The 25409-nt window shown below is 36.8% G+C and overlaps 1 protein-coding gene across 24 annotated transcripts in view; it reads right to left on the bottom strand.

Annotated features, from left to right (window-relative positions):
- Nucleotides 1–25409, bottom strand: part of DCAF6 (DDB1 and CUL4 associated factor 6) — a 212261-nt gene that overhangs the window by 108043 nt on the left and 78809 nt on the right. For 21 of the 24 annotated variants that reach the window (NR_146229.2, NR_146230.2, NR_146228.2 and 18 more), the window contains exons 2-3: nucleotides 15933–15994; nucleotides 1073–1165 (exon numbers count right to left, since the gene is read on the bottom strand). Coding sequence is in view for 7 of the 24 variants with exons in the window: in NM_001198956.2 (NP_001185885.1) it covers nucleotides 1073–1165; nucleotides 15933–15994 (155 nt within the window). In the remaining 17 variants the exon portion in view is untranslated. The remainder of the gene's footprint in view (nucleotides 1–1072; nucleotides 1166–15932; nucleotides 15995–25409) is intronic. The other 3 variants (NM_001349777.2, NM_001349780.2, NM_001198957.2) reach the window with 2 other exon arrangements.

Genomic DNA, 25409 nt, shown 5'->3' with positions numbered 1-25409 from the left:
GCACCACTGTACTCCAGCCTTCCAGCCTGGGTGACAGAGTGAGACCTTGCCACAAAAAAAAAAAAAAAAAAAAAAAAAAGATACAGGAAATTTAAGACAATCAGGAGAGAAAAATGTATCATGTGAGTTGGGAGGCAGCTAGGAAATATACATATTCCTATTCTTAACTGGAACTTTAAATGATGTGTTGAATGTTTAAGATCTTACAAATTTTAAAATAACTATTTAGTCATATTTCTAAAACAGAAGGTTTCTCATTTAACTGTTATGTCAAGTGTAAAGAACATCACACACTTTCTTTTTATTACAATCAGTCAGCTGTTTATAGCTTTATCATTCAGTATCTTAATTTCTCTGAAACCATCCTTGTAAAGGAAACATTCTGTGGATAAAATGGAATGCTATTTGAAACAGTAATTAAAGTTACTTGAGAGTTAGAAAATTATTTAATTCTTAGATATCTCTTGCCTTCTAGTGAGGGAGTTTATTAGCTTATGGTAATTTTTTTCTTCATTGAAACCATTTTAATTTTCTCAGTACCTCAAGAACTATTCACACCGCAGTCATTTGGCTGTTTTTGTCTTTAAAAGTTTTAAATGTAAATTTTCTAAAAGACTAAATTTCAAATTTTTAAGAAAACGAAACAATGACCAAAGTTGGCAGCTTTACCCACACTATTCTTAACATTAAAATAAGTAACTTTTTAGAATGTTAAGATAATATATTAAGGTAACACATAAAAGTAATTTTCTCATTAACTCATACTTTATTTATGGCACATTTTCCCCCAAAAAATGTTATTGAAATAATGTCACTTGTACCAATTATTAACCATTTAAATAAAGTATATTTAAATTTTCTAGATCCCAAGGCTGAATAAAATCTTGTTTCCCTAAGTAATCTAAGAGACCCACATGTACCTAAGAACCTCTAAATTATACAATAAACCTCAGCAAAATAGGGAGGATATTCTAATATAAATGCCCATTCTATGACTGTTCACAGTTTCTTCATTTCTGCCTTCTTGATTTTTTTTCTCTCATTAAATTACAGATTTTTTAAACTACTTTACCTTTCTGCTGTAAGGATTACTAATTACTAATTTGGTGTCATCTGAGCCAGATAAAATATATTCTCCAGTGTCATTCCAACAGATTGTATTAACCTAAAGAGAAAGCAAAAAAGAAATATAAGCAAATTGGACATAAAAGAAAATATGCCATCTTTCACTCACCTGGCGGTACAAAATTTTTACCACTAATGAGGTTATACGTTAAAAAGTATTTAACATAGGGGTGTCCAATCTTATGGCTTCCCTTGGCCACAGTAGAAGAAGAAGAATTGTCTCCGGCCACACATAAAATACACTAACACTAACAATAGCTGATGAGCTAAAAATAAATAGCAAAAAAATCTCATAATGTTTTAAGAAAGTTTATGAATTTATGTGGGCCACATTCAAAGCTGTCCTGGGCCTCATGCAGCCCACGGGCCGTGTGTTAGACAAGCTTGATTTAATAGTTGATGTATTAAAAAAACAAGCTTCCAGTTTCCAGTTCCACACGTAAGAAGCTTAGCAGTTGCCACTCCATACTAACAACAAATAAAAAGTTAACAAACTGTAAAATCAATAACTGATCTTGGATCCTTCAGAGAGGTAAGGACACAGGACAAAATGCTACCCCCTAGATTGCAGAGATGAACAGGTAAACACAAGGAGTCTTGGCTTACCAGAGCACAGACTCATGAGCAGAAACCTCTGTGAGAAACAGAGCTAGGGTAGGAAAACCTGAACTATAATTGATGAATTGTTGGAGGTTCAGAAAGCGTTAAGTCTGAATGTTAAAAACTCCAGGGAAGGCCGGGCGCGGTGGCTCACGTCTATAATCCCAGCACTTTGGGAGGCCAAAGCGGGTGGATCACCTGATGTCAGAGGTTCGAGACCAGCCTGACCAATATGGCGAAACCCCGTCTCTACTAAAAATACAAAAATTAGCCGGCCATGGTGGCATGCGCCTGTAATCCCAGCTACTCGGGAGGCCTCAGCCTCCCGACAGGAGAACTGCTTGAACCCAAGAGGTGGAGGTTTCAGTGAGCCAAGATCGTGTCACTGCACCCAGCCTACGCGACAGAGCAAGACTCTGTCTCAAAAAAGAAAAAAACTCCAGGGAACCCAGTCATGCGGTGGGGGTATGGTGCAGAGGGTGTTTTTGTGATTTGATTTTAACTTCAGAGCTCAACCAGATTTTCACAATAAATTTCAGATTAAAATCACCTTGTACATCCAGCAGAGGGAGGGAAAAAGAAACCATTTTGGGTATCCCAGAGTACTCTAACTTTCTTAACAAGATCTGCCCTTAAGAAAAGCTATTTCACCACAGCCTACCCACTGAGGTTTTATTAGAGCCTAACTGACCTAGACAAACAGAAATACCCAATTCCAGCCTTCCGCATTGGGGAAGGAAAATACATAACTCCAGCCTAATCTACTAACCTGTTCCACCTCAGTTGGGAATAGGAGGTGCTGATAATCCCTTGTGAAGCCCACAGTTCAGACGTATAGGCTCTTTAAGTGACAGACACCTAATCATAGGCCTGTAGAACACTTCCTCTCCTCCTACACTTTACCAGTAAATTCCTAAGGACCTATTTATACCATTACTTTTAATAAGTACTTCATGTCCAGTTATTAAGAAAAATTACAAGCCATACTAAAAGGCAAAAATACAATTTGAAGGGATAAAGCCAGCATCAGAACCAAACATAGCAGGACTGTTGGAACTGTAAGACCAGGAATCCGAAACAACTATGATTAGCATGCTAAGAGTTCCAATGGATAAAGTAGACAGCATGTAAGAAGAGATGGGCAATGTCAGCAGAGAGACGGAAATCCTAAGAATAAAAAGGAAATGGTAGCAATCAAAAACAATGTAACAGAAAGGAACAATGCCTCTGATGGGCGTATTAGTAGACTAGACACAATTGAGGAAACAATCTCTGACCTTGAGGATATATCAATAAAAACGTACAAAACTGAGAAGCAAAAAGAACAAAGACTGAAAAAAAGCAAAACAAAACATAATGTCCAAGGAATGTGGGACAACTACAAAAGGCATAACTCATGTATAATGTGAATACCAGAGGAGAAGGAGAAAAGAACAGAATATCTGAAATAATAATGACTGATAATTTCCTCCAAATGAATGTGAGAAACCAAACCATAGATCCAGTAAGCTCAGAGAACAATAATCAGGATAAATACAAAAAGAACTACAGCTAGGCAAGCATTTTTCAAACTAAAGAAAATCAAAGATAAGAAAAAATCCTGAAAGAAGCTGGAGGAAAAAACATTATCTATAGAGGAGCAAAGATAAGAATTACATCCAACATCTCCTCAGAAATCATGTAAGCAAGAAGAGTGAAATATTTAAAGCAGTAACGGAAACAAAACAAAGCAAAACCAACCTAGAATACTGTACCCCGCAAAATTATCCTTCAAAACTAAAGGAGAAATAAAACTTTTCTCAGATAAATTAACATTGAGGGAATTTGTTGCCAGCAGACCTACTTTGCAAGAAATTACAAAAGGAGTTCTTTAAAGAAAAGGAAAATAAACATAGGTCAGAGACATATATCTACATAAAGAAAGAAGGAGCACTGAAGGAGGAATAAGTGAAGATAAAACACAAACTTTCATTTTACTTATTCTTAATTGAGCTAACAAATTATTTTATTGTTCAAAATAACAGCAACAATGTATTTGATCATCTATGCTTATATCTAGCACATATACAAAAATATGCTTATGAGTGCTTATAAATAAGTGAAATGAATAACAGAAATAGTACAAGGTATAAGATGGAAGATTTAAAATTACTTTGTACTCACACTCCCTGTGAATCATTATAGTGTTATTTGAAATAAAGTGGACTTAGATTTGTTGTACATGTATAGTGAAAACTTTAGGGCAAATAATTAAAAAGTTTAAAAAATAGGTGTAACTAATAAATACTAAGGAAGGAGAAAAAAAAAACTATATGAAATGCTCAATTAAAACCACAAAAGGTCCAGGCATGGTGACTCACACCTGTAATCCCAGCACTCTGGGAGGCCAAGGTGGGTGGATCACTTGAGGTCAGGAATTAGAGACCAGCCTGGCCAACATGGTGAAACCCCATCTCTACTAAAACACAAAAATTAGCTGGGTGTGGTGGCATCCCAGCTACTCAGGAGGCTGAGGCAGGAGAATCACTTGAACCTGGGAGGCGGAGGTAGCAGTGAGCTGAGATTGAACCACTCTACTCCAGCCTGGGTGGCAGAGTGAGACTCCATCTCAAAAGGGAAAAAAAAAAAAAACAGAAACAAAAAAAACACAAAAGGCAGAAGAATGGAAAACAAAAATAGGAACAAGGAACAAAGACAAAAAGCAGAAACAGTTAACAAATATAGGAAATATTAATCCAACTATACCAGTAATCCCTTTGAATGTCAATAGTCTAAATTAAAAATTATTATTTTGGTTTTTTTTTTGAGACAGAGTTTCACGCTTTTGCCCAGGCTGAAGTGAAGCAGCACGATCTCAGCTCACTACAACCTCCGCCTCCTGAGTTCAAGCGATTCTCCCGCCTCAGCCTCCCGAGTAGCTGGGATTACAGGTGCCTGCCAGCCACTATGCTTGGCTAATTTTTGTATTTTTAGTAGAGCCAGGGTTTCACCATGTTGCCCAGGCTGGTCTCGAACTCCAGACCTCAGGTGATCCACCCGCCTTGGCCTCCCAAAGTGCTAGGATTACAGATGTGAGCCACCACGCCTGGCAACATTTTTGTTTGTTTGTTTTTTGAGATGGAGTCTCGCTTCATCGCCAGGCTGGCGTGCAGTGGTGCTATCTCCGCTTACTACAACCCTCTGCCTCCTGGGTTCAAGCAATTCTCCTGCCTCAGCCTCCCAAGTAACTGGGATTATAGGCATGTGCCACCATGCGTGGCTAATTTTTGTATTTTTAGTAGAGACAGAGTTTTGCCACGTTGGCCAGGCTGGTCTTGAACTCCTGACCTCAGGTGATCGCCCACCTCGACCTCCCAAAGTGCTGGGATTACAGGGGTGAGCCACCGCACCCAGCCTAAAAATTAAGACAGAGACTGTCAGAGTGGATCAAAAAACAAGATCCAAATATATGTTGTTTACAAGAAATCCATTTTAAATATAAAGATCCATATGGATTAAAAGTAAATGGATTGAGAAAAATATATCATACTAATACAAATCAAAAGAAAACAGGAGTAGTTACATTAATTTCAGACAGACCAGAGTTCAAAGCAAGAAAAATTATCAGGGAAAAAGAAGGGTATTTCATAACGATAAAGAGGTCAGTTTCCCCAAGACAACATAGTTTCCCAATCCCTAACATGTATGTGCTTAACAACAGAGCATCGAAATATGTGAGATAAAAACTGACAGAACTATAAAGAGAAACAGATGAATCTAGTATGATACCTGGAGACTTCAATTCCCTCTATCAGAAACAGACAGACCTAGCAGGCAGAAAATCAGTAAGGACACAGTTAAACTCAAAACCATCAATTACCTGAATATAACGGACATTTATAGACTACTTCATTCAACAACAGCAGAATATACAGTCCTCTAAAGCTCACATGAAACATTTACCAAGACAGACCACACTTGAGGCCTTAAAATACACTTTATCAAATTTAAAAGAATAAAAATCAAACAGTGTCTACTCTTAGACCACAATGGAATTAAACTAAAATCAGTAACAGAAAGATAACTGGAAAATCCCAAAATACACACAAGTTCAAAATAACACATCGGTCAAAGAAGAAATCTCAAGAGAAATTTTAAAAGATTCTGAATTCAATGAAATCAAAACAAGACTAATTAAAATCTGTGAGGTGCAACAAAGTAGTTCTCAGAGGAAATTTTACAGCATTTCTGAAATCCAAAATACTTTGAGCATCATGTGGCACTCAAAAAGTTTCAAATTTTGGAGCATTTCAATTTTCAGATTTTCAAATTAAAGACACTCAACCTGTAGAATATCAAAAACAAGACAAGGATGTCCTCTCTCACCACTTCGTTTCAACACCATACTTTAAGTCCTAGCTAATGCAGTAAGACAAGAAAAGGAAGGAAAAGCAAAGGAAAAGTATGAAGATTGGAAAAGAAATAAAACGGTCTTTGTAGATAACAAGATCATCTATATGGAAAATAAAATTTTAAAAACCCTCCTGGAGGCCAGGCACAGTGGCTCACGCCTGTAATCCCAGCATTTTGGGAGGCAAAGGAGGGCGGATCACGGGGTCAGGAGATCAAGACATCCTGGCTAACACGATGAAACCCCATCTCTACTAAAAATACAAAAAATTAGCCGGGTGTGGTGGTGGGCACCTGTAGTCCCAGCTACTCGGGAGGCTGAGGCAGAAGAATGGCATGAACCCGGGAGGCGGAGCTTGCATTGAGCCGAGATCGCGCCACTGCACTCCAGCCTGGGCGACAGAGCAAGACTCTGTTTCAAAACAAACAAAACAAAACAAAATAAAACCCTCCTGGAACTAATAAGTGATTGTAGCAAAGTAATAGGATACAAGGTTAATATTAAAAAGTCAATTATTTTCCTAAATACCAGAAATGAACAAGTGGAATTTGAATTTTAAAACACAATACCATTACATTAGCACTCCAAAACATGAAACACTTAGGTATAAATTGAATGAAATATGTATAAGATTTCTATGAGGAAAATTATAAAACTCTGGTAAAAGAAATCAAAGAATTAAATAAATGAAGAGCTATTCCATATTAATAAATAGAAAGATTCAGTATTTTCAAGATGTCAATTATTCCCAACTTGTTCTATAGATTCAATGCAATTCCTATCAAAATCTCAGCAAATTATTTTGTGGGTATTGACAAACTGATTCTAAAGTTTATAAGAGATGCCAAAGACTCGGGCTAGCCAACACATATTAAGGGAGAAGAACAAAGTTGTTCTTCTCAAGCTTACATGGAACATTTACCAAGACAGACCATATTTGAGGCCTTAAAATACACTTTAACAAATTTAAAAGAATAAAAATCATACAGTGTCTACTCTTAGACCACAATGGAATTAAACTAAAATCAGTAACAGAAAGATAAGTGGAGAATCCCAAGACAGCTGACACTACCCAACTTCAAGACTTACTATAAAGTGCCTGTAATCCCACCACTTTGGGAGGCCAAGACAGGAAGATCACGAGGTCAGGAGTTTGAGACCAGCCTGGCTGGTGGTTCGAGACCACCCCATCTCTACTAAAGATACAAAAAAATAAGCTGGGAATGGTGGCGCGTGCCTGTAATCCCAGCTACTCGGGAGTCTGAGGCAGGAGAATCACTTGAACCCAGGAGGTGGAGGCTGCCGTGAGCTGAGATCGCGCCATTGCACTCCAGCCTGGGCAAGAGGCCGAGACTCCATCTCAAAAAAATAAATAAATAAATAAATAATAATAAAAATTTTACTGTAAGGCTACACCAAATAAGACAGTGTGGTATTGGCAAAAGAGCAGACAAACAGATAACTAAACAGAATTCAGAGCCCAGAAACAGACCCACATAAACACGATCATCGGACCTTTGACAAAGGAGTAAAGTCAATACAATGCAGATAGTCTTTTCAACAAATGGTGCTGCTACAACTGGATATTCACATGCAAAAAAAATAAAAATAAAAATAAAATCTAGACACATAACTTACACCCTTCACAAAAATTAATTCAAAATAGATCACAGACCTAAATATAAACACAAAACTATAAACCTCTGAGAAGATAACATAGGGAAAAAACTCAGATGACCTTGGGTATGGTGATAATTTATTAAGTACAATACCAAGGCAAGATCCATAAAAGAAATCATTGATAAGACTGACTTCATTAAAATTAAAAACTTCCACCCTGCAAAAGACAATGTCAAGAAAACAAGAAGACAAGACAGGGGAAATACTTTCAAAAGACACATCTGATAAAGTAATGTTATCTAAAATAAATAAAGAACTCTTAAAACACTACAATAAGAAACATCTAAGAAATGAGCCAAAGGCCATAACAGGCACCTCAGCAAAGATACACAGATTGCAAACGAGCATATGAAAAGATAATCCACATCCTATGTTATCAGGGAAATGTACTACATATCTATTAGAATGGCCAAAATAGAGAACACTGACAACATCAAATACTGGCAAGGATGTGGAGCATCAGGAACTTATATTCATTGCTGGTGGGAATGCAAAATTGTACAGTCACTTTGAAGGACAAATGGTGATTTCTTATAAAAACTAAACATACACAATACAGCATGCTCCTTGGTATTTATCCAAAGGAGCTGAAAACGTATGTCCACACATACACCTGCACACGAACGTAAACGTATGTGCACACCAACACCTGCCCACAAACGTTTATGGCAACTTTACTCATAACTGCCAATTTTTGGAAGCACCCAAGATGTCCTTCAGCAAGTGAATGGACAAACTGTGGTACATCTACAGAATGAAGTATTATTCAGCTCTAAAAAGAAATGAGCTAGAAGCTATGAAAAGATAGAGGAAACCTAAATGTATATTGCTAAGTGAAAGAAAACTAATCTGAAAAGGCTACATACTATGTGATTCCAATTATATGACATTCTGGAAAAGGCTTAACTATGGAGACTATAAAAAGATCAGTGGTCATCAGGAGTTCAGAAGGTGGGTGATAAATAGGCAGAGCACAGGAGATTTTTAAGGCAGTGAAACAACTCCACATGATACTATAATGGTGGATATATATCACTATACATTTGTCCAAACTCATAAGATGCCTGAAACCAAGAGTGAGCCCTATTGTAAACTATGGACTTTGGATGGATTATGATGTATTAATGTAGGCTCATGAAATACAGCAAATGTACCACTCAGGTGGAAGATGTTGATAATGGAAAATGCTATGCAAGTATGTGGGCAGGGGATATATGAGAAATTCCCATACCTTCCTCTCAATTTTGCTATGAACCTAAAACTGCTCTAAAAAAATTCAAAATAAAGCGTTAAATATTGACTGTCATTTAGTAAACACAATGTTCTGATATTTTACAATGAAATGTCTGAGCCATTAAGTTTCACTGTGTAAATTTACTTATTTGAATTTATTTAGTGTTCACAGGCATAAAACCAAGTCACCTAAAATAAAACTAGAAAAACTTATTACAAAACTACAGTAATCAAGACTGTGTGGCACTGGCAAAAACAAACACATACAGATCAATGTAATGGAATTAAGAGTTCAGAAATAAACTCTTCTATTTATGGTCAAGTGATTTTTTGACAAGAGATCCAAGACCATTCAATGAAAGAAAAGTCTTTTCACCAAATGGTGCTGAGACAACTAGATAATCGCCACCAAAAAAAAAACAAAAAAAAACACCTTGGACCCCTACTTTATACCATATAAAAATTAACTGAAAATAGATCAAATATCTAAACAGAAGAGCTAAAACTATACAACTCTTAGAAGAAAACAGGTATAAATCTTCACGACCAGTGATTAAGCAAGTTTCTTAAATACGGCACCAACAGCCCAAGCAAACAGCAAAAAGAAATTAGACTTCACCAAAATTAAAAACTTTTGTACATTAAAGGACACTATGAGGAAGGCAAAAAGACAACCCATAGAATGAAGGGAAATATTTGCAAATCATATATCTGATAAGAGTCCCATGACAAGAGTCCCAGAATATACAAACACAACTCAACAACAAAAAGACAAACAATCCAATTAAAAATAGGTAAAGGATTTAAATAGACATTTCTCCAAAGAAGGTATGTAAATGACTCATACCTTCATATGCACATAGAAAGATGCTCAACATCATTAGTCATCAGAGAAATAAAAACCAAAATCACAACAAATTACCACTTCACATCCACTAGGATGATTATAATAATTTTTTAAAGAAACAGAAAATAAGAGTTGGCAAGGATGTCAAGAAACTGGAACCCTGTATGTTGCTGTCAGAAATGTAAAATGGTACAGCTCTTTGGAAAACAGTTTTGATACCTCCTCAAAAAGTGAGATATCAGTTTACCATATGACCTAGCAATTCTGCAACTAGGTATACAGCCAAGATAATTGAAAACTTACAACACACAAAAATTTGTACACAAATGTTCACAGCAGCATTATTCATAATTGCCAAAAAATGGAAACAACCCAAATATCCAACAACTGATGAACAGATTAAATGTGGTATATCTGTACAATGAAATATTAAATGTGGTATATGTGTACAATGAAATATTTATTCAATCATAAAAAGGAATGAAATACTGACACATACTACAACATGGATTAACCTTGAAAACATTACACTAAGTGAAAGAACCCTTACATTAACAGCCAATATTGTATGGTTCCATTTATATGAAATGTCAGAATACGCACATTGGTAGAGACAGAAAGTATTAGTGATTGCTAACTGCTAAATAGAGGGGAAATGGTGACTGATAATTGGTACTCTTTTTCAGATGATAAAATTAGAGGAATTAAATAGTGGTGATGGCTCCACAACTTTACAAATACACTAAAAACCACCGAATTGAACACTTAAGATGCGTCAGTTTTATAGTATGTGAGCACATCTAAATTAAAAAAAAAATAAATGTCCACTTATAGTCAACATGTCAGCACATGGACCAGGTTTATCATCATGCTTGTAACAACTAAAAAACAGCAAAATATACATTTTTTAAGTGTACAAGAAACATTTACCAATAGAGACAACATTCTGGGCCACAAAACAAACCTTAATATATTTAAATAGAAGACTACAAGTCATTGAAAGTATGTTCTCTGACCAAAATGGAATTAAATCAGAAATCATTAACATAAAGATACGTTGGAAAACTAAGAAATAACAGATGGCCATAGAAATAACAGATGGTCAAAGAAGAAATTACAAAATAAATTAAAAAGTATTTTGAACTCAATGAAAATAAAAATGCAACATATCTCAATTTATGGATTACAGCTAAAACAATATTTAGAAGAAAATTTACAGCACCAAAGAAACCTCTATTTTAGAAAAGACAACGGTCTCATATCAATGACCTCAGCTTCCACTCAAAAAATTACAAAACAAAGAGCAAATGAAACCCAAAGTCTGCAGAAGACTCAAATAATAAATATATTAGCAGAAATCAATGAAATAGAAAACAGAAAAACAACGGAGACAATTAATGAGACCAGAGGTTGGTTCTTGGAGAAGACAAAATTAACAAGCCTCTAGCCAAACTAATCAGGAAAAAACATGGAGAAAATATTACCAATATCAGTAATGAGAAACACAGTAACATACACTACAGATTCTACAGATACTTAAAAACATAAGGGAATATTATGAACAATTTTATGTCAATAAATTCAATAATTTACATAAAATAAATTCAGTGAAGCACACATATTAAACAAGGTTCACTCAAGACATAGATACCCTGAATAGTTTATTTTTACTAAATAAATGGAATTATAGTTAGACATTTCCCAGGAAAAAAAAAAGACACTTGGCAAAATCCAGCAATGATTCATGATAGCTCTTAGCAAGTTAGTAATAGAGGAGAACATCCTCAACCTGACAACAAGCATCCATGAAAAAACTGATGACATCATACTAAATAGAAAGAGACAATGTTCTTAGCTAAGCACAGCGGCTCATACCTGTAATCCCAGCACTTTGCTTTGGGAGGTTGAGGTGGGAGGTATCACTTGAGCCCAGGAGTTCAAGACCAGACGGGCAACATAATGAGACCCCACCTCTACAAAAAACAAACACATTTGCTGGGGTGGTGGCATGCACCTATGGTCCCAGCTAACTCAGGAGGCTGAGGTGGGAAGATAGCTTGAGCCCAGGAGGTCGAGGCTATAGTGAGCTATGATTGTGCCACTGCACTCCAATCTGGGAAACAGAGGGAGACCCTGTTTTCCTTCTAAGATCAGAACAAGACAAGGATGCCTGATTCCACTCCTTCTATTCAATCTTATAATAGAATACTAACCAGTGAAATAAGTCAAGAAAACGAAATAAAAGGAATCCAGACTAGAAAAGAAGTAAAACTAACTTAATTCTCAGATGACTTGATTATTTACATAGAATATCCTATAAAATCTTAAGGAAAAAAAAAAGCTACTTGAATGAATATGAGAGTTCAGGAAGTTTCCAGAATACAGATGAATATCTAAAAATTAACGGGGCAGGAAATGTAACCACAACATGATACTACTAGATGCCTGTTAGAATGTCTTTAAAAAAAAAAAAAACTGACCACACCAAATGCTGGTGAGGACATGGACCCACTGGAATTTCTACATACTAACACTGGGAATGTTAAACGGTACAACGATACTGGAAAACAACTGGTTTCTTAACAGTTAAGCAGGTACCTACCATATGACCCATTCATTCCACTCAAAGGTATTTATCAAAAAAGAATAAAAGCATATGTTCATACAAAGACGCAACACGAATATTCATGGCAACTTTATTTGTAATAGTCCTCAACTGGATACAACCCAATGTCCACTGACAGGTGAACAGAGATAAACATTATGATTTATCCATACAATAAATGCTCCTCAGCAATAAAAAGTAATAAATTATTGATACACTCAACAACATGAATCCCAAAATAATTATTCTAAGTAAAATTTAAAGTAAAAAAAGCCAAATGAAAAAAGGATACATAGTCAATGATTCCGTTTATTTAAAATTCTAGAAAATGCAAACTGATTTATAGTGACAGAATAGAGATCATTGGTTGACTGGGGTTGAGGGTGATGTGTAAGGAATGAGAGGGCACATGGGCAAACTTTTAGGGGATGATTGATATTTTATCATCATGAATGTGGTGATGACTTTGTGTATGTTTACATGTGTTAAACATATCAAATAGTACACTTTAAATATGTACAGCTGATCATATCTCAATAAAGCTCTTAAAAATACAAAAATTTGCCGGGTGCGGTGGCTCACGCCTGTAATCCCAGCACTTTGGGAGGCAGAGGCGGGCGGATCATGAGGTCAGGAGATCGAGACCATCCTGGCTAACACAGTGAAACACCGTCTCTACTAAAAATACCAAAAATTAGCCGCGCTTGGTGGTGGGTGCCTGTAGTCCCAGCTACTCAGGAGGCTGAGGCAGGAGACTGGCGTGAATCCGGGAGGCGGAGCTTGCAGTGAGCCGAGATTGTGCCACTGCACTCCAGCCTGGGTGGCACAGCGAGACTCCATCTCAAAAAAATAAAAAAATAAAAAAATAAAAAATAAAAATTTAAGCACAAATCTAGGGGTAATTCACAAAAGTAATTAAAGTTATTATATAATAACAAAAAGTAATTAGGCTGGCAACAGTCTTACCAGCTGAAGTGAATACTAGAAAACATTTGTGTAAGACCTTGAAAACTACAGAGTGGGTGGGGTGCAGTGGCTCACACCTGTAATCCCAGCACTTTGGGAGGATCACCTGAGGTCAGGAGTTCGAGGCCAGCCTAGCCAACACGGCGAAACCCCGTCTCTACTAGAAATTCAAAAATTAGCCAGGCATGGTGGTGCAGACTGTAATCTCAGCTTCTCAGGAGGCTGAGGCACAAGAATCACTTGAACCCAGGAGGTGGAGGTTGCAGTGAGCTGAGATTGTGCCACTCCACTCCAGCCTGGAAGACGGAGTGAGACTCAGTCTCAAAACAAACAAACAAAAAACTACAGAGTGAAAATAATGTCCAACCTAGAATCCTGTATCCACTCAGATCACCAATGAAGTACGAAAGCAGAGAACAAAGGTATGTTTAAACTTGAAAAAAATGTTGGGCCAGGAACAGTGGCTTACACCTGCAATCCCAGCACTTTTGGAGGCCAAGGCGGGCAGATCACCTGAGGCCAGGAGTTCAAGACCAGCCTGGCCAACATGGTGAAACTCAGTCTCTACTAAAGACACAAAAATTAGCCAGGTGTGGTGGTGGGTGCCTGTAATCCCAGCTACTCGGGAGGCTGCAGCGGAGAACTGCTTGAACCCGGGAGACGGAGGTTGCAGTGAGCCAAGATTGCACCACTCACTCCAGCCTTGGTGACAGAGCAAGACCCCATATCAAAGAATAATAATAATAATTAATCTAACACATAATATACTCTTTGTCTCATCAATGAATAATTCATAAAGTGCCACATCTGTTTCAGGCATTCCTGTTGATAGTAAATTTAAAAAATAAATTTGTGAAGGTATTTTTTTGGTCCAATATGCCAAGGCAGGGGGGCAAAAGTGTAGACTATGAACAAATAAATTGGTTTGTTAATTATAATGCCAGATAGTAAGCACTATCAATAATAATAATAATGTAAGGAGAAAGATACTGACCAGGCGTGGCATGCTGTTTAATTAGGGTGTTCAGGGAATGCTGCTTTGGTAGGCAACATTTGAAAAGAGAGCTAAATAAAATGAGAAGGTAAGCTTTACAGGTAAGTGAGAGAAGAGAATTCTAGGTATAAGGCATAAAATATACAAGGCAGAGGTGTCCTTGGATCATCTTTTGAACAAATAACAATAAAAAGACATTTTAAAACAAAGAAAATATGGACTATATATTAGATTAATACCGAAAAAACAGTCAATATTATTAAATTACCTAATGGCATTTTGGTTATATAAGAAAATGTCAATCGCTTTTTAGGCTTACATATGAAGGTAAAATAATATATCTTCAGCAAGGCGGATCTTCAGCAAGGTGGATCTTCAGCAAGGTGGATGGGGGAAGAAAATAAAATAGAAAAGAAAATATGGCAAAATCTTGATAATTACTAAGTCTAGGTCACAAGTACATGAAAAGTACATTTGAAATTTTTATAATAAAAATTGAAAAGAGCTCTGTTTTGGATCTGCTAAATTTGGGATGCCTATTAGACATGCAACTGGACATGTTAAGTAGAAAGTTGGATATAAAAACTCTGGGAAGAGGCAGAAGTCATGTTTTCTTTAGCCATGGGACTAGATAGGGTCATTTTGAGCTGGAGAGAAAAGAGGGTGGGAGATACCAAGACAGGGTCTTCGTGCAACCAACATGTGAAGGAACATATGCGGAGGAGTCAGCTGAGACAGAGAAGATGTAGCAAGTCAATGGATTGAAATAGGAAGAAAACCAAGAGAGTATGGTGTTAGCAAAAGCCAAGAGAAAAAGTATTTCAAAAAAGAGGATATGGGACAGGCACAGTGGCTCACACCTGTAATCCCAGCACTTTGGGAGGCTGAGGCAGGAGGATCACGAGGTCAGATCAACACCATCCTGGCTAACACAGTGAAACCCTGTCTCTACTAAAAAATACAAAAAAATTAGCCAGGCGTGGTGGCAGGCACCTGTAGTCCCAGCTACCCAGGAGGCTGAGGCAGGAGAATGACGTGAACCCGGGAGGCGGAGCTTGCAGGGAGGCTGAGCTTGCAGTGAGCCGAGATTGCGCCACTGCACTCCAGCCTGGGCAACAGAGCAAGACTCTGTCTCAAAAACAAAAACAAAAACAAACAAAAAAAAGTATGAAAAAAAAGAGGATATGTTTGAGTGATATGTCTAGTTTCTAAGAAGTGAACACCACATTTGGAGACATGAAGTCACAAAAGCAGTTTCAGTACAGTGAATGAGATGGAAGCCTTTCGATAATATTAGAAAACTCATCTGCACTTTAAAAAATCTTGCATACACTCTTCTAGATTCAAAATATAATTTTATATTTTAATGTAAAACTTTATTCTCCCATTTTATTATAGTCACAATCCTTTCTGGGAGGATTGGGACATTTCATCAAACACTTAAACACTTAGTATCAAATCCCTTCAGAGTTGAGAATTAACTATTACTTACACAACCATCATGCACATTAAGGGTTGCTTCAAGTTTTAATCTTTGGATAAATTCTCTTCTTCCTGTTTAAAAAGAAAGAACAAATTAAATAAATCACACAAATACTGAGAAAAATATAACACAGAAATTAGGAGCCTAGGATCTGGCATGAAAAGTAAATTCATGCTCTAATTTCAGCTCCACCATTTATAAACTGAGTGATACTGGGCAATTTAACCTCCGCCTAAGACTTAGTTTCCTCATTAGAATACCTCTACCTCACGCAGTTTTTTGTTTGTTTGTTTTTTGAGACACAGTCTCACTCTGTTGCCCAGGCTGGAGTGCAGTGGCATGATCTCAGCTCACTGCAACCTCTGCCTCCCAAGTTCAAGCAATTCTCCTTCCTCAGCTTCCCAAGTGGCTGGGATCACAGGCACACAGCACCACGCCCAGCTAACTTTTGTATTTTTAGTAGAGACAGGATTTCATCATGTGGGCCAGGCTGGTCTCAAACTCCTCACCTCAACTGATCCACCCGCATTGGCCTCCCAAAGTGCTAGGATTACAGGTGTGAGCCACCACGCCCGGCCTGTAGTTATTTTAAGGACAGAAAGGGCTTAGCACAGTATCTGGACCACAATAAACACTCGTACATTTCTTCATTTATTCATTCAACAAATATTTATTGAGTACTCACTCTGTGTCAGGTAAAGTATATTTTACGGTGGTAAAATAAAACAAAAAGATTTCTGCCTGCTTATGAGAGGAGAAAAACAATAATCGGTGTAAGTGCTATAAGTTAGTATAGTGCTATGCAGAAAAATAAAGCAGGAAAAAGAGATAAAAGATGACTGCAGGTAGGGAGTAAGGTTTTTAATTTTAAATAGGATGGCAAACAGCAATAGTAAGTACCAACTATTTTTAAGCATTTCTCAATTTCAGAAACGTTAAAGTTAACATTACAATGATGAAATATGGCATTAAAAATCAGCATAAATGTCCATCAATAGCAGAACAGTTTAAATACTGCAAAAACAGAGTAAGTTCCTTCTTTGAAAAAGAGAAATCTGTCCCTTTAAGGAATGAATCATCTTTACCAAACACAGATCAAAAAGCATGTTTATTCAGAAGCTGTAATGAAAGAAGGCTGAATTTACAACAAAGAACAATAATTAAGTAATCAGGCTGATGAGATCTCTCATAAAATTGTATCTGCCTATACTTTCTGTATACTGTCACAAAGGGCAGATTTCTCTATTGCACTTTCTTGCCATTCCATGTCAAAATCAAGAGCCTCTTGAAGCCAATTTGTTTTACTTCTTTCTCCATGTTATTTAACTGGTAAGATGGCTAGGTAAAGGATGAACATATAAGTTAAAAAAAAATTATGGATAATTATGGGGGCTTTTATTTTGGGGAGGGAGATGCTCTATGGTTTCTAAACTTACTGAAATAAAACAACCTAGAGAAATTCAGTAACATGTTTTCATGAAGTAGGTTGTACTTCAGGTAATTAACTTTTCAAATCTGATTTTCGCTTGTAAAAAGATTCTAACTTCAGTAAAAAAGATAAATTTTTAAAAACTCATTTCATTTTGGTCAAAGGATTGGTAATCTCATTGAGTTATACGAGTTAAGAAACAAAGTATTCAAATTAACAATATGACAGCAATTAAAACACATTAAAATATTAAAGTATTGGAAACTTTGTCAAAATTTTAAAACCTGCGTTTGAAACATGGCTCTAGCCACTTCAGTCTGGAGAAAATGGTGGCAGAACCTAAGAATAGAAGATAAAGTAAGCTGTTTTAGCAAGAACTCTTCTATATGACGTTTGCACATTAGAACATGTATAGAGGCATAACACATTGTGGTTAAATAGATAGCTTTTGAATGACATTTTTATACATGACTTTGGAGATAAAATTTATTGCATCGTCCAGACATCTCATAAAGTGTGCTTCTAGAGCAAACTAGCAAAAACATCCACTACCCTTTTAGTAATTAAATGTAATACCAAGAAATAGAAGCAAAAACCCACCACAAAATAAGAACAGTACCTTAATAAAACTGAGCCTCCTCAAATTAAAATTAAAATAAACTCACATCTGAATGCTATTAAAAGCTGTGAAGAGTCTGGCCTATTTGCAAGGTAACCAATTGGACTGCTACCTTTCTTGGATGCTAGCAAAAGACACCAAACTCCTAAGTCAGAGGCAAAAAAATTTACTACTCATGTATGGCAAGCAGTATGAGCTTCAGGTTTACATTGGTTCTTCCTGTAATCCAAGTCTCATAGGGAAACTTGAAGATGCCTGGATAGATGCTGTGCATGTAATGGGTTTTAATCACAGCTGAGGAATCTTGAACTTGGGGAACCTAAATCTTTTATCAAGCAAACCTGCCCGACCTTTATCCCTAAGGAGACATTATTAAACTGAACAACAAATTTGTCCTTGGCTCAAGAGGCTCTCAGTACTCCAGTGTTGGGTGCAAATATATATTTAGAATTGTTATATATTCCAAGGCTATTCACTATATAAACCTCACTGAGAAGATAGTCCAGAACAAAACGACTAGTGCCTCTGCTCCGAAGATGTTCAGAAATCCAAAGAGCTATGAAGAATCTTCTCCCAAGAATTACACACTTGTTATGGATGAACTTACCATTGTGGCTTCCAACTCAAGTCTTTCTGTACTTCAAGCTGCCTCTTATAATTCTGACTCTACTCTGGCATTCTTTTATATTAATAGGTTATAAACTCCATAAGAACACTGCTTTATTGACCCATGTATTCCAAATACCTAATACAGTGCCTGCCACAAAGTATGCATTCAATATACGTTTGCTGAATCAGTGAATAAATGACTGGGATCATGATATTCATTCTGTTCTGGAATCTGTATTACCACTCAATAACACATGGTGATTGCTGTGCGTGGTGGCTCACACCTGTAATCCCAGTACTTTGGGAGGCCGAGGTGGGTGGATCACCTGAAGTCAGGAGTTCAGGACCAGCCTGATCAACATGTCAAAACCCCATCTCTACTAAAAATACAAAAATTAGCCGGGTGTGGTGATGGGCACCTGTAGTCCCAGCTACTCGGGAGGCTGAGGTAGGAGAATCGCTTGAACCTGGGAGGCGGAGGCTGCAGTGAGCTGAGATCATGCCACTGTACTCCAGCCTGGGCAACAGAGTGAGACTCCACCTCAAAAAAATAAAATAAAATAACACATGGTGAATGTATTTCAATGACAATAAATATACAGCTATTGCTCATTTTTAATGGTTGTGTAATCATTAAACCATTAAATAAATTACAACTTTGTAAGTTATTTATTCACATACCTATCTCCTTTACTAGACTAGTTGAGAATTATTACTTATAGAGATGGTTGGGGCAAGAAATGTTGGATTAGGTTTAAATATCTGACTTGAACATACTACACTTAGGTTGGGCAAAACTTATTTTCTCAGAGCCTTAGTTCTTACTTGGGGGTGACAAACTCTACCAAGGAGAGACAAAACACAAAATTATTTCATCCTTGGCACAGGACAGATGACTGCTAGTTAAGAGATTTAGAGATCCAGATATGAGAGGCTCAGCAATCACCAGACAAATACAGTGTAAAAAGGTCTCCACCATGGCAACATTATAATCAGACTGTCTGAAGTCAAAGTGAAGAGTGAATCCTAAAAATGGCAAGAGAAAAAACCATCTAAAAACAGTTAAAAAAAAAAAAAAAGGACTAAGAAAGTCGTTATATAATATTAAAGAGACCAATTCAGCAAGAATATATAACAATTCTAAATACATATTTGCACCCGACACTGGAGTACTAAGAGTCATAAAACAAGTATTACTAGACCTAAAGAAAGAGATACACTGCAACACAATAGTGTGAAAATTCAACACCCCACTTACAGCATTAGACAGATCATCTAGACAAAGAATCAGCAAAGAAACACTGGACTTAAACTGGACTTTAGACCAAATGAACTTAACAGACATTTACAAAACATTCTATCCAACAACTGCAGAATATACAATATTTTCATCAGCATATGGAACATTCTCCAAGACAGACCATATGTTAAGCCACAAAACAAAGTCTCAACAAATTTTTTAAAACTGAAATCACATCAAGTGCCTTCTCAGACAACAGCAGAATAAAACTAGAAATCAATACCAAGAGAAAATTTACAAACCTTACAAATACACAACAATTAAACAACATGCTCCTGAATGACAATAGGGTCAATGAAGAAATTAAGACAGAAATTTAAAAAAATGTTTTTGAAACAAATGAAAATGTAAACACAACATACCAAAACCTGTGGGATACAGCAAAAGCAGTGCTAAGAAGAACACAGCAATAAATTCCTACATCAAAAAGGAGAAAGATTACAAGTTAATAATCTAAGAACGCACCTCGAGGAACCAGAAAACCAAGAAAAAACCAAACCCAAAACTAGCAGAAGAAAAGAAATAAAGATCAGAGCAGAACTAAATGAAATATGGACTGAAAAAAAAAACCCACAAAAGGTCAATGAAATGAAAAGCTGGTTCCTCAAAGAGATAAAAAAAATTGATAAACCACTTTCCAGACTAACCAAGAAAAGAAGGGAGAAGAGCCAAATAAAATCAGAAATGAAAAAGGAGACATTACAACTGATTCCACAGAAGTACAAAGATCATCACAGACTATAATGAACTATATACTCATAAACTAGAAAACCTACAGGAAATAGATACATTCCCAGAAAAACACAACCTACCAAGAATGAACCAGAAAGAAACAGAAAATCTGAATAGACCAATAATGAGCAGCAAGAATTAATCAGTAATTTTTACAATCTCCCAACAAAGAAAAGCCCAGTACCAGATGGCTTCACAGCCGAATTCTACCAAATGTACAAAGAAGAAGTAATATCAATACTCCTGAAACTATTCCAAAAAATCAAGGACAGGCCTCTCCCTAACTTATTCTATAAGGCCATTATCGCCCTGATAACAAAACCAAAGAAGGACACAAAACAAAGGATACAGAATAAAAAGAAAACTACAGATTAATGAACACAAATGCAAAAATCCTCAACAAAATACTAGCAAACCAAATCCAACACCAAATCAAAAAGATAATACACCATGATCAAGTGGGTTTTATACCAGGAATGCAAGGATAGGTCAACATATGCAAATCAATAAATGTGATACATCATATCAACAGAATGAAGGGCAAAAACCATATGATCATCTTAATAGACGCGAAAAAAGAATTTAATAAAATTCAACATCCCTTCATAAGAAAAACCCTTAGTAAACTAGGCACAGAAAGATCATACCTCAAAATAATAAAGGCCATATATGATAAACCTGTAACTAACATCATACTGAATAGGGAAAAGATGAAAGCATTCCTTTAAGAACTGGAAGAAAACAAGGATGCCTACTTTCACCACTCTTCAATATAGTATTGGAAGTCCTAACCAGAGCAATCAGGCAAGAGAATGAAACAAAAGGCATCAAAATTATAAAGGAAGGAGTCAAATTATCCCTGTTTCCTGATGATATGATCTTATATCTAGAAAAACCTAAAGACTCCCCACAAAAACTCTTAGATTTGCCAGGCGCGGTAGCTCATGCCTGTAATCCCAGCACTTTGGGAGGCTGAGGTGGCCAGATCACCTGAGGTCAGTAGTTCAAGACCAGCTGGCCAACATGGTGAAACCCTGTCTCTACTAAAACTACAAAAATTAGCCGGGTGTGGTGGCACATGCCTGTAATCCCAGCTACTCGGGAGGCTGAGGCAGGAGAATCACTTGAACCCGGGAGGCAGAGCTTGCAGTGAGCTGAGATTGTGCCATTGCACTCCAGCCTGGGCAACAGAATGAAATTCTGTCTCAAAAAAAAAAAAAAAAAAACCCTTAGATTTGGTAAATGAATTCAGTAAACTTGCAAGATACAAAATCAACATACAAAAATTAGTAGTGTTTCTACACACCAATAATGATTCAAAATGAAAACCAAATCAAGAACACAATCCCATTTACAATAGCTACAAATAACAAAAAAAAAAAGGCCGGGTGTGGTGGCTCACGCCTGTAATCCCAGCACTTTGGGAGGCCAAGGTGGGTGGATCACAAGGTCAAGAGATCGAGACCATCCTGGCCAACATGGTGAAACCCTGTCTCTACTAAAAATACACACACACACAAAAATTAGCTGGGCATAGTGGTGCGCACTTGTAGTCCCAGCTACTCTGGAGGCTCAGGCAGGAGAAGTGCTTGAACCTGGGAGCCGGAGGTTGTAGTAAGCCGAGATTGTGCCACTGCACTCCAGCCTGGGTGACAGAGTGAGACTCCGTCTCAAAAAAGAAAAAAAGAAAAAAGAAATTATAAACACACACATACACACACACACAAACTAGGAATATATTTAACCAGAGGTAAAATCCCTACAAGGAGAACTACAAAACACAGCTAAAAGAAATTATACATGACACAAATGGAAAAACATCCCATGATCACTGGATATTCAGAAGAATATCATTAAAATGACCATACTGTACAAAGCAGCCTACATATTCTATACAATCCCTATCAAAATACCAAGTTAATTTTTTGCAAAATTAGAAAAAACAATCCTAAAATTCATATGGAACCAAAAAGAAGCCCCAATAGCCAAAGCAATGCTGAGCAAAAAGAATAAAGCTAGAGGCATCACATTATCTAACTTCAAATTATATTACAAGACTATACTAACCAGAACAGCAGGTTACTGGTATAAAAATAAGACACACAGGTCAATGGAACAGCATAGAGAACCCAGAAATAAAGCCGCATACTTGCAGCCAACTGATGTTTGACAAAGCCGACAAGAACATACACTGTGGAAACGAAACCCTCTTCAATCAATGGTGCTGAGAAAATTAGATATCCATATGCAGAAGAATGCAATTGAACTCTTATCTCTCACTAATACATAAAAATCAACTCAAGGTGGATTAAAGACTTAAGTGTAAGACCCAAAACTATAAAGATACTAGAAAACAGACAAATGGGACTCAATTAAACTAAAAAGCTTCTGCATGGCAAAAGAAATAACAGATTGAAGAGACAACCAATCCTGTTGAATGACAGAAAATATCTGCAAATTATTCATCCAACAGGGGACTAATATCCAGACTACACAAGGAACTCAAACGATTCAACAACCAAAAAAATCTAACAATCCTATTAAAAAGTAGGCAAAACACATGAATAGACATTTTTCAAAAGCATACACCCAACAGGTATATGAAAAAATGCTCAACATTACCAGTCATAAGAGAAATGCAAATCAAATTCACAATGAGATATCACCTTATCCTAGTCAGAATGTCTTTTATTAAAAAGACAGACAATGTTGGTTATCATGTGAAAAAAAGGGAACTCTTATATACCATTGGTGGGAATGTAAATTAGTACAGCCTCTATGGAAAACAGTATGGAGATTTCTCCAAGAATTAAAAATAGAACTATCTTTCCATCTAGCAATCCCACTACTAGATTTTTACAAAAAGAAAAGAAATTAATATATCTAAAAGATATGTGCACCAGTATGTTTACTGCAGCACTATTCACAACAGCAAAGATATGGAATCAACCTAAGTGTCCATCAATGGATGAACAGGTAAAGAAAATGTGGTATATATACACAATGGAATACTATTCAGCCATAACAAAGAATGAAATCAGGCTGGGCGTGGTGGCTCACCCCTGTGATCCCAGCACTTTGGGAGGCCGAGGCGGGCAGATCACAAGGTCGGGGGATCGAGGCCATCCTGGCTAACACTGTGAAACCCTGTCTCTACTGAAAATACAAAAAAAAAGTTAGTCAGGTGTGGTGGCGGGCACCTGTAGTCCCAACTACTTGGGAGGCTGAGGCAGGAGAATGGCGTGAACCTCGGAGGCGGAACTTGCAGTAAGCCGAGATCTCACCACTGCACTACAGCCTGGGCGACAGAGTGAGACTCCATCTCAAAAAAAAAATGAATGAAATCATGACATATACAGCAACGTGGATGGAACTAGAGGTCATTATCTTAGGTTAAACAAACCAGGCACACAAAGACAAGTATGATGTTCTGACTCATAAGTGTGTTCTAAACAAACGTGTTCACACAGATGCAGAGTGGAATGATACATAATGGAGTGGAAGAATGAGGAGGTGGGAGGATGATGAGAAATTCGTTAATGAGGACAAAGAACGTTATTCAGGTGATGGATACCTTAAAAGCCCTCACTTGACTGCAGCATAATCTATGCATGTAACAAAACTGCATATGTACCCATAAATTTGTACAAATAAAAAGTAAAAATAAATAAAAATATCATCTAAAATAGCATTACAAATATGAAATATTTAAGGATAAACCTAACACCAAAAAATACAAATCACTGCTGAGAGAATCAAAGAATGCTTAATACACGGAGACAAACCAGAACCACAGATGAGAAGATTCATATTGTAAACATGTCAGTTCTCCCTGAAATAATATATAGATTCAACACAAAATCCCAAGTCTTTTTGTAGAAATTGACAAGCTAGTTCTAAAATTTTTATGGAAATAGAAAGGGTTCAGAATAGCCAGGATAACTATAAATTTTTTTAAAAAAGACCAAATTTCGGCCAGGCGCGGTGGCTCACGCCTGTAATCCCAGCACTTTGGTAGGCCAAGGCGGGCAGATCACAAGGTCAGGAGATCGAGACCATCCTGGCTAACGCGGTGAAACCCCATCTCTACTAAAAAAATACAAAAAAATTAGCCGGGCGTGGTGGCGGGTGCCTGTAGTCCCAGCTACTCGGGAGGCTGAGGCAGGAGAATGGTGTGAACCCAGGAGGCGGAGCTTGTAGTGAGCCAAGATCGAGCCACTGCACTCCAGCCTGGGTGACAGAGCAAGACTCTGTCTCAAAAAAAAGACCAAGTTTAAAGTATCACACTAGCTGATTTCAATCCTCGGTATAAAGACATGAAGCTAGATCAATGGAATGTGGCTAGGAAATTGACTTAAACATTTATGGTCAATTGATTTTCAACAAAGGGAAAAAAGTAGTCTTTCCACACACTGTTAGATCAATTGCACATTAATATGCAAAGAAATGAAACTTGACTCTTACAACATATGTAAAACTTAACTCGAAATTGTTCACAGACCTAAATGTAAGAGGTAAAAAGATAAAATCTCCAGGAAAAAAAAAGTAAAAATCTTTGTTACCTTGGATTAGGTAAAGATTCTTAGATAGGACATAAAAAGTATGAACTATAAAAGAACCTGTTAAGAAAAAGACATAAACTGACAGAAAATATTTGTAAAGTACATATCTGATTAAGGACTGTTATATAAAGAATTATAGAATTCTTACAATATTAAAAAGGTAAACCTGAACATTTAACCAGACTATATGGATGACAAAAACAAAAGCCACAAAAGATACTCAACATCATTAACC

This window comes from Homo sapiens, chromosome 1, assembly GCF_000001405.40.
Source record: "Homo sapiens chromosome 1, GRCh38.p14 Primary Assembly".
Taxonomy (NCBI): Eukaryota; Metazoa; Chordata; class Mammalia; order Primates; family Hominidae; genus Homo; species Homo sapiens.
Note: the sequence above shows the minus strand (reverse complement) of the source record. Positions and strands in the feature narration are given on the sequence as shown.